Here is a 16,766-nt window from a genome sequence, read left to right on the forward strand (position 1 = left end):
TCATGCCTGTAATCCCAGCATTTGGGGAGGCTGAGGCAGGCGGATCACTTGAAGTCAGGATCAACCTGACCAACATGGCAAAACCTCATCTCTACTAAAAATACAAAAATTAGCCAGGCGTGCTGGCATGTGCCTGTAATCCCAGCTACTCTGAAGGCTGAGGCAGGAGGACAACTTGAACCCAGGAGGCCGAGGTTGCAGTGAGCCGAGATCGTGCCACTGTGCTGCAGCCTGAGTGACAGAGCAAGACTCCATCTCAAAAAAAAAAAAAAAACTCTTGTTTAATGACTTTTAGCTAGTCTTAATTTATGAACCCCATTTTTAATTGCAGAATATAAAACGGTTGTTATTTTTATTATATCTCAATTGATAATACCTGAGGTTGTAAATTCCATTTTGTGTAGCTTTCAGTAGGAAAGATTATTGAGGTTATTGTTTTGCTACAGTTTTTCATTTTAGGGAATAAGAGCTGAAAGTAAAGTTGTTTGAAGTAGTTTTTTTTGTTTTGGTTTGGTTTGGTTTGGTTTGGTTTGGGTTTGCGTTTGGGTTTTGTTTTTTGCGACAGAGTTTCGCTCTTGTTGCCCAGGCTAGAGTGCAATGGCACGATCTCTGCTCACTGCAACCTCCGCCTCCCAGGTTCAAGTGATTCTCCTGCCTCAGCCTCCTGAGTAGCTGGGATTACAGGCATGCACCACCACGCCTAGCTAATTTTTGTATTTTTAGTAGAAATGAGGCTTCTCTATGTTGGTCAGGATGGTCTCAAACTCCTGACGTCAGGTGATCCACCCACCTTGGCCTCCCAAAGTACAGGGATTATAGGCATGAGCCACTGTGCCTGACCTGAAGAAGATTTTTATAACCTATTTATTATTTTCCTATATCAAGGAAATAAGACCTTTACAAAACACCTGTTTGCAACATTAAAAACAAAATTAGGGGGCCTGGGCACGTTGGCTGTAATCTCAGTACTTTGGGAGGCGAAGGCAAGCAATTCACCTGAGCCCAGGAGTTTGAGACCAGCCTAGGCAACATGGCAAAACCCCATCTCTACTAAAAATAGAAAAAATAGCTGGGCATGGTGGCAAGCACCTATGGTCCCAGCTACTCAGGAGGCTGAAACCCAAGGATTGCTTGAGCCCAGGAGGTGGTGTTGTGGTGAGCTGAGATTGTGCTGCTGCACTCCAGCCTGAGCGACAAAGCGAGACGCTGTCTCAAAGAAAAAACAAAATTAGGGCTGGCCATGGTGGCTCATGCCTGCAGTCTCAGCACTTTAGGAGGCCAAGGTGAAAGGATCACTTGACCCCAGGAGTTCCAGACCAGTCTGGGCAACATAGTGAGTCCCTGTCTCTACCAAAAATTTAAAAAACAATAATATAAAAATTAAAGTAGCCAGGCGTAGTGGTGCACTCCTGTGGTCTCAGCTACCTGGGAGGCTGAACTGGGAGGATCGCCTGAGCCTGGGAGGTCGAGGCTGCAGTGAGCCATGATTGTGCCTCTGTACTCCACCTTGGGCAACAGGGGAAGACCCTGTCCAAAAAAAAAATTAGTTGGCAGACTAGCACTGTTTGTTAAAGACTTTCAATAAACAACATAAGAAATAAAGTGATCCACGTTTAAGCCGATCCTTAACTTTTCTTCCAGTCTCCACAAAGCGTGGGGGTGTGCAGGGGTTAGGTTTTTCTCCCCCTGTTTACAGCCACCACCTCCTCAGAGGTCTGTGTCCATCATCTCCTTTCCTCCTCTGGTTTCAACTTCTCCATCTCCATTATCTTTCCCAGATGTTCAAGTCTTTCCCATTCTATAAACAGATTCCACCAAATCCCCTTCCTGGGTACTGCTTCATCTTATTCTGCCGCTTCATGCTTCTCAATATATAACTTCTCTCTCCTACAACTTCCATTCAATTTTTTAAAACATTTTTTGTTCTGAAATAATAGGTTAGTGCAAAGGTAATTGAGGTTCTTGCTATTAAATGGCAGAAACTGCAATTACAGTTACCTTTGCACCAACCTAATATACATACTGAAAAGTATGTAAAATACATGTGCAAAAGAATAAATTAGTTATGTAATACACACACAAGTTAACTATCGCCATGTTGAAGTAACAGAAAATTTCAGCTATGCCAATATCCTGTGTGCTGTTTCTCCTCACTGGAAGTAACCTGGCTTTAAAGAAAAAAAAAATCCGGGTTAAGTTCACAGATCCTGGCTTTTATGAGTAATGATTTCTTTGCTCTTTTTGTAGTTTTACCACCTTTGTATGCATTACTTTACTGTTCATCCTGCTGCCTTGTACTCTTTCTAGAATATCTCAGAATTTTCACAGTAAGGTTATCTGTGAGCAGTTGCCACTTCAAGTGGATGTTTCTCAGTCCTAATCTCACTAGGCCTCTCTGCTATATTTAACATTGTAGATCAGTTCATCCTTCTTGAAACAACTCTAAAGTCTGTTACTGTATTCTCCTATGTCTCTGCATCCTTTAACCTTCCCTTCTATGTCCATTTCACAGGCTCCTCTGCCCACCCCTTAAACATTGATGTCTTCAGGGTTCCTTCCTCAGCCCACAGCCACTCTTACACTGTCCATGGTGATCCTGTCCACTCTAGTGATTTCAGCCTTCACTCTTATGCTGATTACTTTCAGATCTACTCTTCAGCTCAGACTCTTCTGTCTCTACATAGAAACTGCCTCCTGGAGATCCTTACCTAGATACTCCATATCCAAGACAGTCTTCATCAACTTTGCCTCTAAACTTGCTCCTCTTTCTTTTTCTACTTTTTCTGAATCAATCCTTGTTCACCCATGTTCAAAATCTGGAGGCATCCTGATTTTTCCTTTCCCTCATTCCCCACGTCTTTTCAATGACCAAGTGATACCAGTTCGTTCTTTCTTTCTTTCTTTCTTTCTTTCTTTCTTTCTTTCTTTCTTTTTTGACATGGAGTCTCGCTTTTGTCGCTCAGGCTGGAGTGCATTGGTGCGATCTTGGCTCACTGCAACCTCCGACTCCCAGGTTCAAGCGATTCTCCTGCCTCAGCCTCTGAAGTAGCTGGGACTACAGGCACACACCACCATGCCCAGCTAATTTTTGTATTTTTAGTAGAGACGAGGTTTCACCATGCTGGCCAGGCTGGTCTTGAACTCCTGACCTCGTGATCCGCCCACCTCAGCTTCCCAAAGTGCTGGGAGTACAGGTGTGAGCCACCACACCTGGCCCAAACTACAACTATCCTAACTTCGACACTTAAAACTGGATAAAGCTCATGCTCCTTTACTTGACTTACAAGGCCCTCCATTCTTGTGCCCTGCTTTTTCCACCTTGTCTTCCATTTACACCCGGCTATGTATGTCATATTTTGGCAGCATGTATGCTCTTTTTTAGTTCCATGTCACTGTTCATTCTGTTCCCTCTGCCTAAGATTCTCCATTTGATTTACACCTAATTTGAGAGTAAATTTAAGTTTTACACCTGCAGGGAAACTTTCTCTGACCCTTCTTTAACCCCATCCGCTGGTGGGGGAGTCCCCCTCACCACTCCATTAATGCCTTGTACATACTACTGTCACTGTATTGACATTGTTTTGTAATTATGTATATGCCTCTCATGTTCTGCTGGCCCATTATACTGTGTTGGATACCGAACACAGTACTTGGCACAATGCCAAATTGAATGAGGAGGGAAGAAGGAGAGGGAAGCACACATTGACATTAAGAGTAAAAGAATTGTTCTTACCATGTTATATACTTTAATATATGGAATCGCCTGAATACAGGTCTCCATACAAAACTCTAAGAAACTTCTAAGGAATCCCTTACCTATAAAGCTCTTTTGGAAAGAATGAGGTTTTAATTTTCTTCTAACATCAACAAACCCTCACAAATATTCATGTTGCAGACCAAACCTGGACCACCCAAAAAGCCGAAGACCCCTTCAAGACCATCAGCCTTAGCATATTGCTATCACTGCGCGCAAAAAGGCCATTATGGACACGTAAGTTTGAGTGACATTTGGGCATGAAGCATTCTGTTGTCAGGGAGTGTTTTCTGAAAGATGAACTCAAAAAGAATGTAACTCTAAATACTTACTTTTTAATAAACATTAAAGTAAGACTTAATATATTTTCAACTGGTTTACCCCTCCCCTCCCTGCTAGAGTAACAAGCTATCAGAGCATATTCCTCTAATTATGTTACATGTACATGAACAGGTTGGGATAAAACTAATATAGTTCATAAAATCAAACAAATATAATAGTCAACAGTATGATAGCAGTTCTCATGAGTTCTTACAAACACAATTGCTTTGACACCGCCATAGCATGATTTTAGATTTTCTTTTTTTTTTGAGACGGAGTCTTGCTCTGTTTCCCAGGCTGGAGTGCAGTGGTGCGATCTCAGCTCACTGCAACCTCCTTCTCCCGGGTTCAAGCGATTCTTCTGCCTCAGCCTCCCAAGTAGCTGGGATTACAGGCGCCTGCCACCACACCCAGCTAATTTTTGTATTGTTAGTAGAGATGGGGTTTTACCATATTGGTCAGGCTGGTCTTGAACTCCTGACCTCAGGTGATCCACCTGCCTTGGCCTCCCAAAGTTCTGGGATTACAGGCGTGAGCTACCACACCTGGCCGATTTTAGATTTTTGTTGTGTTTTGGGGTTTGTTTTTTTTTTTTTTGGTTTTTTTTTTGAGACGGAGTTTCACTCTTGTTGCCCAAGCTGGAGTGCAATGACACGATCTCAGCTCACTGCAACTTCCACCTCCTGGGTTCAAGCAATTCTTCTGCCTCAGCCTCCCGAGTGGCTGGGATTATAGGCGCATGCCACCATGCCCAGCTAATTTTTTGTATTTTTTTAGTAGAAATGAGGTTCCACCATGTTAGCCAGGCTGGTCTCGAACTGCTGGCCTCAGATGATCCACCCGCCTCGGCCTCCAAAAGTGTTGGGGTTACAGGCGTGAGCCACTGCGCCCGGCCCAATTTTAGATTTTCTACTTAGTTCTCCCGTTTTCCCTGGTACAATGTTCAGTTAAGTCTACATCACATACATGTAAACCCTGGCATTCAGTGGTGAAAAAACAGATGCTGCATCATTGACTTGCTCACCTACCCCACAAATGCCCAGATTCCCTATCCAGCCAACATATTCCCTAACCCCAGCTGAAAAGGCCAAACTGTGTGTGTTCTAGATGCTGAGGTGTCAAAGCAGAAGAAGCTTCTTGCTGAGAGCTGGGCATGAGGCCACTAGGCAGATGCCACATTAAGTATGAAGCAGCAGCAGCTCATTTCAGAGAAAGGATGTAATAAGAATAGGCTCAGAGCCCATACTTCTGGGAATCTTGAGGCAGTGGAGGAAAGGCAGTGGCACAGAAAGTAGAAAATTCTTAAAAAAGAATGTATTATTCCCAGTCTCCAGGTAGGCTTCTAGTAGCCTAGAAACCAAGATAAACTAATATCAAACCAGATCTGGTGTCAGGAGGCAGAAAGCATGCAGTGTTGGGAGTCCTCAGACTGAGAAGTATGAGCAATAGGATGGGGTGAGTGGTATTGCAGGTTACCACTTGAATTCCAACTATGACACATCACTGGTGTAGATCTTGGGAGCTGGAGACCTACATTGTAGGGCAACGAAGAAAAGTGCTGAACAGAATCCATAAACAGATAAAGTTTATCTTCCATATTGGGGCAGCAGCAACCGTGGGGGTGAGACATAACTTATGAAAGCCAGGATGAGGCTCTGAGCCTCAGTTGCAGTTTTTGCTCTGCTACTGACTCAACCATGTGATGTAAACAACCCATTTTTTCTCTTTGGTCCCATTTCTTTATCTCCAAAGCAGAGAAGTTGTACAGGAAATCTCTCAGCACCAAGTAGTGAAGACTTTTTTTGAGACACGGTACAGAGTGCAGTGGGCACTATCTCAGCTCACTGCAGCTTTGACCTCCCAGGCTCAAGTGATCCTCCCACCTCAGCCTCTCGAGTAGCTGGGATTACAGGCACACACCACTGTGCCCAGCTAATTTTGTTTATTTTTTGTAGAGACATGGTCTCACTATGATGCCCAGGCTGGTCTCAAACTCCTGGCCTCAAGCAATCCTCCCTCCTTGGCCTCCCGAAGTGTTGAGATTACAGAAGTGAGCTACCATGCCCAGCCAAGAAGACTTCTTTTACAGAATTATCATCTCTAGATCTTTTACTGCTCTGTCCATTCCTCATTACTAAACATTCAGATGTTGTCAACGTCTTTTAGGGAACATATTCACATAAGCTTTCCATTACCACACAAATCACATAGATGTACAATTTTTGCTTGCTTACCTCTGTAAAGCAGAGGGGTATAATTTTAGCATTTATGTTTGTTCAATTAAAGAAAAACAATTATAGTTGGATGCTTACTAGTCACTTCTGTTAAGGCAGATAGGAAATATATTAAAAGCATGTGGAATTTATCCCTAAAATCTAGATGTAGATAATTTTTAATTTACAATAAAGCAAATTTGGCAGCCTCATGACTGCCATAGATGAGGAACTCTAGATTATTTACACTAATGAAGAAGATCATTGGTGTGGCTAATCCAGAATAGTAGATAAATTATATAGCCAACTATCAATTGTCTGTGCTAATGGAGGGGACCAGCGATGTGGATAATCAAAATATAATTTACATTTAGCTTTGGAAAACATTTGTAGTATTATATAGCTCTGTGTAGTCACATCAGTCTAGACCATACAAGACCCAAATAGGGAACTATGCAGGTGGTTAAAGATGTCTGTGGACCCCTTCCCTTTCAATGTCAGAAATCCAGCCTTACAGATACTATTATTGAATGGATTCCTCATGTGAAAGACTAGATCTAAGGTGAATATGACATTGCCCTTCCCTAATTTCACTCACTCTCTAGCTGGGGAAGCAAGGACAACAGTAGTCACTGTACAAAGATTACTCCAGGAGTGTGTGAAAGGGGGAGCACGGGCTGGGAGAGTTAAAGATTCTGCTGAAATGAGTATTAGTTGAGTGTATCAAGACCTCTGTTACCTTTGCATAATCACAATTTGCTCTTTTTTTTTTTTTTTTTTTTTTTTGAGACAGAGTTTCGCCCTTGTTGCCCAGGCTGGAGTGCAGTGGCGCAGTCTTGGCTCACTGCAACCTCCACCTCCTAGGTTCAAGCTATTCCTACTTCAGCCTCCCAAGTAGCTGGGATTACAGGCATGTGCCACCACACCTGGCTATTTTTTTTTTTTTTTGTATTTTTAGTAGAGCTGGGGTTTCACCATGTTGGCCATCTGTTCTCGAACTCCTGACCTCAGGTGATCCACCTGCCTCGGCCTCCCAAAGTGTTGGGATTACAGGCATGAGCCACCATGCCCTGCCAAAAGCGTTTCTTTATGTTACCATGTAAGTTTGCCATATAACCTCTAGGACCCTCCCCCCGACAAAAAAACAATCTAAATAATCCAGGTAGTCACAACAGATAAATCTAAAGATAGCAGAAGGATGGAAATGATAAAGATTAGAACCGAACTTATTGAAATAGAAAAGTGAACAGCATCAACAAAACCAAAAGCTGATTATTTGAAAACTCTTTTTTTCAAACAAAAGAGAAACTTCTGGAAAAACTACTGAAAGAAAAAAGGTACTAATAAACAATGAGTGGAAAGTGTGAGTAACTTAAGATACTATATAAATGTTTTTAAATTATAAGACTACTTCATAAAGTTAAATCTGAAAAGGCAAATAACTCTAAAATATATGTATAAATTAACCAGACTGACTCAAGAAGAACAAATCAACTGAACCAATACCATTAAAGAAAATGAATAAGGCCAGGCACTGTGGCTCATGCCTGTCATCTCAACACTTTGGGATGCCAAGTTGGAAGGACCACTTGAGGCTGCCAGTTTGAGACCAGCCTTGGTAACATAGTGAGACCTTGCCTCTACAAAAAACAAATAAAAATTATGAAGTCTGAAACTTAAAACTTACATCACTGTTCATTGGAATATTCATCAGTAAGAGTATAAAAACACATGAGAATGGCCGACTTCAACTTGATGACAGTGGTAACTTCTGGAAAGGGAAGGAGATGAGTGCAAAATGGGAAGGACTTACATGGAGGATTTCAGCTATATCAGTAATACTTTATTCTTGGGGGAAAAACAGGCAACTAAGGTAAAATGTTATGGTTTTATATGAGGGTGAATATAGGTTTTTAATTATTTTTTTATAAATTGTGTGTTTAGAATGATTTATAATTTTTTAATTCTACAAATTAAGTACATAAATGTTTGGCTGCTAGCTTGGCTAGTTCAGACTTGGCTTAATTTTATGTGGATTTTTCACCTACTCTTTAAAATATATTCTAATTGTTTTTCATTACTTAGCTAAGAAACAACATTTTAAAGTAACTTTTAGGCAAGATGGCAGAGGCAGAAAGGGGAAAGTTCCAAAAGAAAAGATTTCAAACATGCTGAATGGATCTGTGTCACAGATCATGATAAACAAAAGCCTGCTATGTGGTGAGTGGTTCAGGCCAAAGCCTATGGATTTGGGAAATACTAGCTGGGTAGAGGCCAGAGTCATGAGAGTAGGAAGCTGTCCTGGGAAAATGAGTAAGAGTAGGGATTTCAACTTGGGTGGCGGAAGCAAGAAGAGAAACTTCTTTTGGGGTGTCTCACAATTACCTAGGAACAATTTTAAACTAGGCATAACCTACCACCAACCTACCCCCCACCGTTAAGAATCACTACCCCTATAAGCAGTGAATGTTGAGTTAAAATAAGCTTGCAAACCATTTGTCTCTAGAAAAAAAGATCAAAGGGCTTAGAACTTATACCCACATTTTGGGGATAGGAAGAAGAGATGGAAAAGAACTTGATAGAAGGCTGTTGGAAGTGATGGACAAGCAAAGGAGTAATACTAACATGAGGCCGAATAACATAAACCCACTAACAGAGCGGCAAGGCTGCTACCTCAGACTGTGAAAGGAGTTAGGCAGAAAAGGCTGAAAAAAGATACGAAGGGTTTCATAGGTAAAGAAGTAAGGGAAGAAAACTCAAGCTTGAAAGAATATCATAACACAGTGGGGTTTAGGGCTGGGTGACCCTCCCAACACCCCAGCAAGGACCATATCCTACAGCCACCACATGAGGTACCAGTGACATGGGGCTCATTTCTAATTAACATGCTCCAGAATCTTGCAAAAAGGTTTTTGAACAGTGTGACCATGTGACATCATAATTTTACATACAATTTATAGGAATGTCCAGAAAGAGAAGTGTATGACCCGTCTCCAGTATCTCCATTCATCTGCTACTATGATGACAAATATGAAATTCAGGAGAGAGAAAAGAGACTAAAACAAAAAATAAAAGGTATGTTGCTAGACTTCTTGTTAGATCACATTTGCAGTAGTTTCTAAATTTCTTTGTTTGTACTGTCTTTGCCTGCTTTGGGGGTCATTGGTTAGCATAGAAAGTATTTTTAGTAATTACCAAAGAGACTGGAACTTTCTTGATCTCCAGAAACCAAGCACCCACTTCAGAAATAATCCCATGTTGCAATCTCCTCACAGTAAACATTTTTTTACAGTGATCATTTTAGGAAATGTCCAGAAAATATTGCTGTCCATCTATATAGGCAGAGTTTTTAAAGGCTCCTTTGAGATTTTTCTGTTTGACAGGTAATTATTTTTTTTTCCATTTGTATTTCTCCAGTATTTTTTTATGGAAAGAAAGGCTTTCCTGCTAAGTTATTCCTGGAGCTTCCCTGAAGAAGTCATTTGTTAGAGGCCACCGCTGCAAGCAGAGCTCCAAGTTCACAACCACCTCTGTGGTTTCTGTACTTACTGTTGCAAACATTGTTCTTTATCACCAAATTAATATCTTATCATTTAAGTTTTCTCTACCTCTGTTCTTTCTTGTTATTCACTTCAAGGTGGTTTTCCAAGTTATCTTTCTTGCTTTAAAAACAAAACAGTTCTGTATTTTTTTAGTTTGTTCTATACCTTATTTTCTGACTCTTTTGGCCTTTTACTCTTCTGGATTCTTAGTTCAGGACCTTTCCAAAATGAAGGTACTAATTCTGAGGAAAATAGAGTTATTACTCTCCCAGCTCCTGCATATTTTACATATTTAATATAAAATGTATGTCATCTACAGCTATCCCTGGATATTGGTTCCAGGAGCCTCCTCATTTACCAAAATCTGCACTTACTTATGTCCCATAGTTGACTCTGCAGAACCTGATTATAGGAAAAAGTAGCCGTTCGTATACACAAGTTTCTAATCTGTGGAATGGTGTATTTTCAATCCTCATTTGGTTGAAAAAATCCACATTTAAGTGGACCCACGTAGTTCAAACTCATTGTGCAAGGGTCAGCTGTGTGGAGAAGTTATAGTAGTTGTAGATTATGATTAGGCAACCAAATTAGAGATTAAAAAGAATTGCATGAAAATGTCATCTCTAGATTAAAGGATTATATGTGCTTTCTGTTTTTTATGTTCTTTGTACTTTTCTGTTTTTTCCAGGTTTTCTATAATGAGCAGTTATAACTTATAATTAGAGAAAACCCATTTTGGTTTTTTTTTAGCTAGTTGTATCGACGTCTGTAGCATAAATCCACTTTGAGGTGTTCACTATGATCCTTTGAAATTTTTATAATAAAAGTCTATGCTAAAAGTTTTTATTGGCCACTTTTTTAATCTTTAAAGATTCTATTGACTGCTAGTTTTCATCTCTCACTGTAACCTCATCTCCCACCTACCCGTATCAGAATCACTATCAGAGATCCGTATTAAGCGTGTCAAGCTCTGACAAAACATTAACATCAGCTTTATCACTAAAACCTCTAAGATACCCGCACTCACGTGCACTCACACACACTCCTCAAAGCCAGTGATCTCTACCCTGGAGGAATAATCTCTTGGGCAGTTTGGCATCCACCTAAAAGTACTATGGCCAGGCCTTATCTTTAGAGGGTGGTTGAAATGTCATATGAGACCATCAAAAGGCCATTTTATAAATCTTGCTTTGCCTCATTTTCAAAGGCTGACTCGTCATCATTGGGGAAACTCGTATTGGTCAGACATGACTTTTCTTCACAAAGCTAAGATGATTACTGTTCTTACAGGTCCTCATCTCCATTGCTTAACCTTGTTAAACTGTTGAAAAGGATAATTAACTATCATTGGATTTCTGAATGTGTTTCATTTTTAGCAATCAGAAACTTGGAGCTACAACTATTTAATTTTTAGTGAGTGATGTCATACTGTTAACATGTTTAAATATCTAGCTTCCCTGTCTGTTAAGTTATTTACACTTAGGAAAGCTCAGCATGGACTGTTTAGCTGCTGAATATGCAAAAATACTTTTATATTTTTCAGTACTCAAGAAAAATGGGGTTATCCCAGAGCCATCCAAGCTACCTTATATAAAAGCAGCAAATGAGAACCCCCACCATGATATAAGGAAGGGCCGTGCCTCATGGAAAAGCAACAGGTGGCCTCAAGAAAATAAAGAAACACAAAAAGAAATGAAGAACAAGAATAGAAACTGGGAGAAGCACAGGAAGGCTGACAGACATCGTGAAGTGGATGAGGATTTTCCCAGGGGCCCCAAAACCTACTCTTCTCCTGGCAGTTTTAAAACCCAGAAGCCTTCTAAGCCCTTTCACCGTTCATCACATTACCACACGTCAAGAGAAGACAAGTCTCCCAAGGAAGGCAAGAGGGGCAAGCAGAAGAAAAAGGAGAGGTGCTGGGAAGATGATGACAATGATAACTTATTTCTTATTAAGCAGAGAAAAAAAAAGTCTTAAGCCGTCAGGCAGCCTCTGATGTGGCTTTTCATTGTTCATTTGGCCTTTGTGTCTATAACCTTCTGGCACTGTGTTTATTATCTATGATTAAATAAAGTGAGTTTTTGGTTTTGTTTTTTTAATTTCAGCCATTCCTAGAGTTACTGAATATCCATGGAGATCTCAATTCTCTGTGTCCAACAGGATATTAGGTAAGAAAGTACAAAGATAAACCTGGACTTCTCCTATTCCAATATGTCATCTTTACTCAGAATCCTAGGGATAGGTAGAAGAATTCATCTTTTCAAGAAAGTGTTTTAAAAATACTTTGGGAAAAAAACTGCATCAAAGGTAATTTATCCTCAAATTAAATCCTTGCAGGAAGAGAAATTAACACTAAGAAAAAGTCATCAATATTTTTCAACTTTTTTTTTTTTTTTTTTTACTTTGGAAAGGACAATAACTATAAACCTATATCCAGATTTTCTTTCTGCTGAAGCTGTTGTCAGAATCTTCCTTTGGACAAAACATCACTAGCTGACTATAAAAACAAAAGTGTCATCATTGAAGCCCTGAAGAGGCAGGGAATTGAGCTTCAGCAAAATACAGGAAAAGAACTATCCAGTATAAATGTCAGAAGACAGATTTCCTAAACAAGTAAAAGAGACATCAAAAATTTTAACATAATCACAATGAAATCATTTTTTACCACTTTTACAGCGGTGTTTCAAGCGGACTGTCACTCAGATCTGCAGAGATGAATATTACTCAAAAAATTTTTTTGTTCTCTTGCATTTTTTTCAACTACCGCAAAGCTATACAGATTTTTTTGTACTTGTGGATCTTTTGTACTTCTCATAACCTAATGTCAGACTAAGAAAAATAAAATATCTGAGAGTAAATACATGTGTTTATTATGTAAAAAGACAATGAGAGTTTGAGTGACAAAGAGCATAGTTAATGTTTATTTTGTTTGTTTGTTTGTTTGTTGTAGAGACAAGGTCTCACTGTGTTGTCTAGGCAGGTCTCAAACTCCTGAGCTCAAGTGATCCTCTTTCCTTGGCCTCCCAAAGTGCTGGGATTACAGGCATGAGCCATCACTCCCGGCCTTGGCATAGTTGTGTTGGGCAGGTGGATAAAGTTATAAAATCCCTGTAGACTGGAGTCAAAAATGCCATTTTTGCCCAAGTGCAAGCTCTCTGCCAGAATAAAATGGTATGAAATCAATTAAATAGGACAATTTTATAATGTCAGGTTCTTAAATTTGTATTTTACTCTTTGGGAAGTATGCAGATTCCTGTATTTCTGGCAGAATCATCTCTCATCTTTCTGAGAGGAAGGAAGAATTCTGTCCTCTCAAATCAGTGCTAGTGCAAATTGTAGGATCACAGAGTTTAGTCTACCACTTTCCCTGTTGCTGCATAGATTTCAGCTAACTTTATTATATGTTGATGCATAGCTTCCTAATAGCTAGAGTTGTTTTCACCCTAAAGTAAGCAACCAGGGTTTTTTTTTTAACAACTTGCTAAATGTGGCAGCCATAAAAAAAGTTTCATGGAAGTGGAAAACCTTGAGATAATTGGCATTATTCTCCAGTAGGACTTGAGGCAAACATGGCTTATTACTCATATGGTATAACAAGTACCCCTTCTGATCCTAAGGCATCTCCTTTCAGGGCAGAAATAGGATTGACGTTCTTTAGGTTCTTTCGTACATAGCAGATTGTTTGGAGAAGGAGAGAAAGGAAGCACTTTTTTTTCTGTTTGTCTCTGCACATTATCTTATTTTTTCCCAAAACTTACAAACATTTTGTTCTAGGGTATAATTTACCTATTGGGTCCATGTATTTACATGCAGATAGGAAAGGATGCTGAGCTACTTCACCTGTGGGCATGAAGATACAGTCTTCATTTCCTGGTAAGAGAAGAACAGAAACATGGAGGAGTCTTTGCTTCATTTCCTCTTCATTTCCCTTGCCCCCAGCTGTTACACCAAATGTTCAGTTAAGGTGAATCAGTCAGTCAGTTTATTAACATACAGACTCTTCATACAACAATGGGGAGTTTAAAATATGTATAGATTCAACCATTAATTAAATAAGACTTTACATGGATAAATACAAGAGAAGAAAAGCAAATGTCCAAAACAGTAAAGATCTGTATAGTTGGTAGGATTAAGAAGATTCTAAACATCTTACCTCTGGCCCAACTTTGATTTGAAGCAGCTTGAGTGGCTCCTATCTTGGGTTCTACCTTGGTTTGTGTTTGGCCTTCTCAAAACAGAGCAAGGGGAACCAGTCTCCCATTTTCTCCATGGAAAGTCTTGCTTTCATGGACCTTGCTATTTGCAGTACTTATTAGTAGCTCTTTATTTTTCTGTTATACAAAGATTATGTAATCATTTTAAGGGGGAAAAATGTTAAAAACAAGTCATATGTGATTCTTTCACACAAAAATGTAGTTAAAATTATTAGTGTCTATTTTTTCAGACTTTTCTATACCTATGTATACATTGTTTTGTAACCTGTTTTTCACTTACTTTGGGAACAAATACATGTCTGCACTTTTGCATGATGTTCTATTATATGGCTGTGCCATGATTTAATCAGCTCCCTGTCGAGCATTTTGTTTCCAATTTTTATTATTTTTGAAAAATTCTTCTACATAATATCTTCTCCATTTATTCAATTGTGATAAAATGGAATTTAGGGTCAGAGAGCATGCATATATTTCATAAAAGTTTTAATACATGATGCCAAATTATATTCCCAAGTCAGATTCTTCCCCAATCATTTATATGTCCCTGGCAGTTTGTGAGTATTCATCTCCCCATTCCCACAATCACATGGAATATTGCCATTCCCTTGTCTCTTTGCCACTCTGATGGGCAGCAAAGAAACATTATTCATTAGTGCTGCAGTGAAAAGATTGATGTGGGTTTGTCTGTGTAAGGAGAGACAGGATTAGCAATATAGGGAAAATCTGTTTTTAAAAGATGTGGAGAGAAGCTTCTCATAGGAAACAACTGAAAATTCTTCTGCCAACAAAAAATTACATACAAAATAAGGGAGCCTTTCATTTGTTTATAGCTGTCCTGATCCCCTGGTCTTATGCTTCGCTTTCTCAACAAAAGGAGGATGCTGCTGGCATCTAATAAGTAGAAGCCAGAGATGTTGCTAAATATCCTACAATGCACAGACTAGCTTCCCACAATGAATCTGGCCCAAAATGTCAATAGCGCTGAGGTTCAGAAACCCTAGTTGAAACCCCAGCTATTTCTCAAATGGAATTCTGTTCACTCGAGAGAGAGTTCACGTTGCCTTCCACATCTAACAGGATGTGCCCTTGTCTTACAAGGCTTTGCATTTCATCATATTGCCAGTGTTTGAGAGACTGGTTGGACATGGCCATTCATGTGAAATAAGGAACACTAGTTCCATGGCATGAAGGTCTACAGTCTGGACCACTTTGTGGAGGATCTGGGCCACTGGAGACTCAGCCAGCTGAGGGAAATTAATAGTTTAGGAATCATGGAAACAAACACTAGAGTGCCAGGCTATGGCTTGAGCCCTGGCAAGAAAAATATAGAACTGTGGTGTGAGAACAAAGGGATTCAGCTAGTGAGGGGAGGAAAGAGTTGGAGACTAATCTGATGGGACACTTAATTGGGTCAGAATGTCATTAGGCTGTAGGAAGGAACCCTCACCAGGATCCAAATCCAACATAGGCCCTTAGATCTCACAGTTGGACTTTCCATTTCAAAGAAGCACCAATGTTTTGGTGATTTATTACACATTGCCATGCAGTGAATCACAGGATGAAGCTGATTGGTGTGTGATTTGAGCCAAAAGTTTTTCTGTTCGTTTAATATATGTTACTTTTTTTTTTTTTTTTTTTTTTTGAGATGGAGTCTCACTCTGTCACCCAGGCTGGAGTGCAATGGCATGGTCTCAGCTCACTGCAACTCCACCTCCCAAGTTCAAGCAATTCTTCTGCCTCAGCCTCCCAAGTAACTGGGACTACAGGGACGTGCCACCACGCCCAGCCAATTTTTCTATTTTTAGTACAGACGGCATTTCACTATGTTGGCCAGGCTGGTCTAGAACTCCTGACCTCGTGATCCACCCACCTCGGCCTCCCAAAGTGCTGAGGATTACAGGCGTGAGCCACCGTGCCCGGCCTAAGTTACCTCTTAAAATGATTTCCTGGGAAATGATTCCATGAAAACCCAGTAAAGGAGTGGGGAGGGAAGTGAGACAGGGAAAAGAAGAGAAGGAAGCCAAGCTGGATGCTTATCAAGTCATGTCTCATAAAGAGGAACTTTCAGACTCACAGGGAACGCTAGAAAGAGTGTAGGCCACACCTCAAAGTTGCCCTAGTAAGGGGCAATGGAGCTGTAGTGTGTGTATCTTTTTTTTTTTTTAATTAGTCATTGTTTAAGCCAGGTAAATTGGGTTTAGGCAGCCCCCTGACGGATGGAGATATGAATGAAACACCAATGTCATTCGCTACAGCCATAATCTCAGAACAGTTCTTCTTACAAAAAGATACTTGGGGCTGGGCATGGTGGCTCACGCCTGTAATCCCAACATTTGGGAGGCTGAGGCAGGAGAATACTTGAGCTCAAGAGTTGGACACCAGTCTGGCAACACAGCAAGATCTCATCGCTACTAAAAGTAAAAAAAAAAAAAAAAAAAAAAAAAAAGATTGGCCAGGCATGGTGGCTCACCCCTGTAATTCCAGCACTTTGGGAGGCCAAGATGGGAAGATTTGCTTGAGTCCAGGAGTTTGAGACTAGCCTGTCAAATTAGTGAGATCTTGTCTCTCCAAAAACTAAAATTAGCCGGGTGTGGTGGCACACGTCTGTGGTCCCAGCTCCCGAGTAGCTGGGACTACAGGTGTGCACCACCACACCCAGCTAATTTTTTGTATTTTCAGTAGAGACGGGGTTTCACCATGTTGGCCAGGCTGGTCTCAAACT

General features: G+C 40.3%; 1 protein-coding gene across 19 annotated transcripts in view; it reads left to right on the forward strand.

Moving 5' to 3' along the window:
• Positions 1–12,688, forward strand: part of ZCCHC7 (zinc finger CCHC-type containing 7) — a 237,983-nt gene extending 225,295 nt beyond the window's left edge. For 14 of the 19 annotated variants that reach the window (NR_110317.1, XM_005251612.4, XM_024447691.2 and 11 more), the window contains 3 exons: positions 3,896–3,991; positions 9,249–9,363; positions 11,374–12,688. Coding sequence is in view for 18 of the 19 variants with exons in the window: in XM_005251612.4 (XP_005251669.1) it covers positions 3,896–3,991; positions 9,249–9,363; positions 11,374–11,807 (645 nt within the window). In the remaining variant the exon portion in view is untranslated. The remainder of the gene's footprint in view (positions 1–3,895; positions 3,992–9,248; positions 9,364–11,373) is intronic. The other 5 variants (XM_011518050.3, XM_017015198.2, XM_047423958.1 and 2 more) reach the window with 1 other exon arrangement.
• Positions 12,689–16,766: the final 4,078 nt, after the last annotated feature.

The sequence above is a fragment of the Homo sapiens genome, chromosome 9, assembly GCF_000001405.40.
Source record: "Homo sapiens chromosome 9, GRCh38.p14 Primary Assembly".
Classification (NCBI taxonomy): domain Eukaryota; kingdom Metazoa; phylum Chordata; class Mammalia; order Primates; family Hominidae; genus Homo; species Homo sapiens.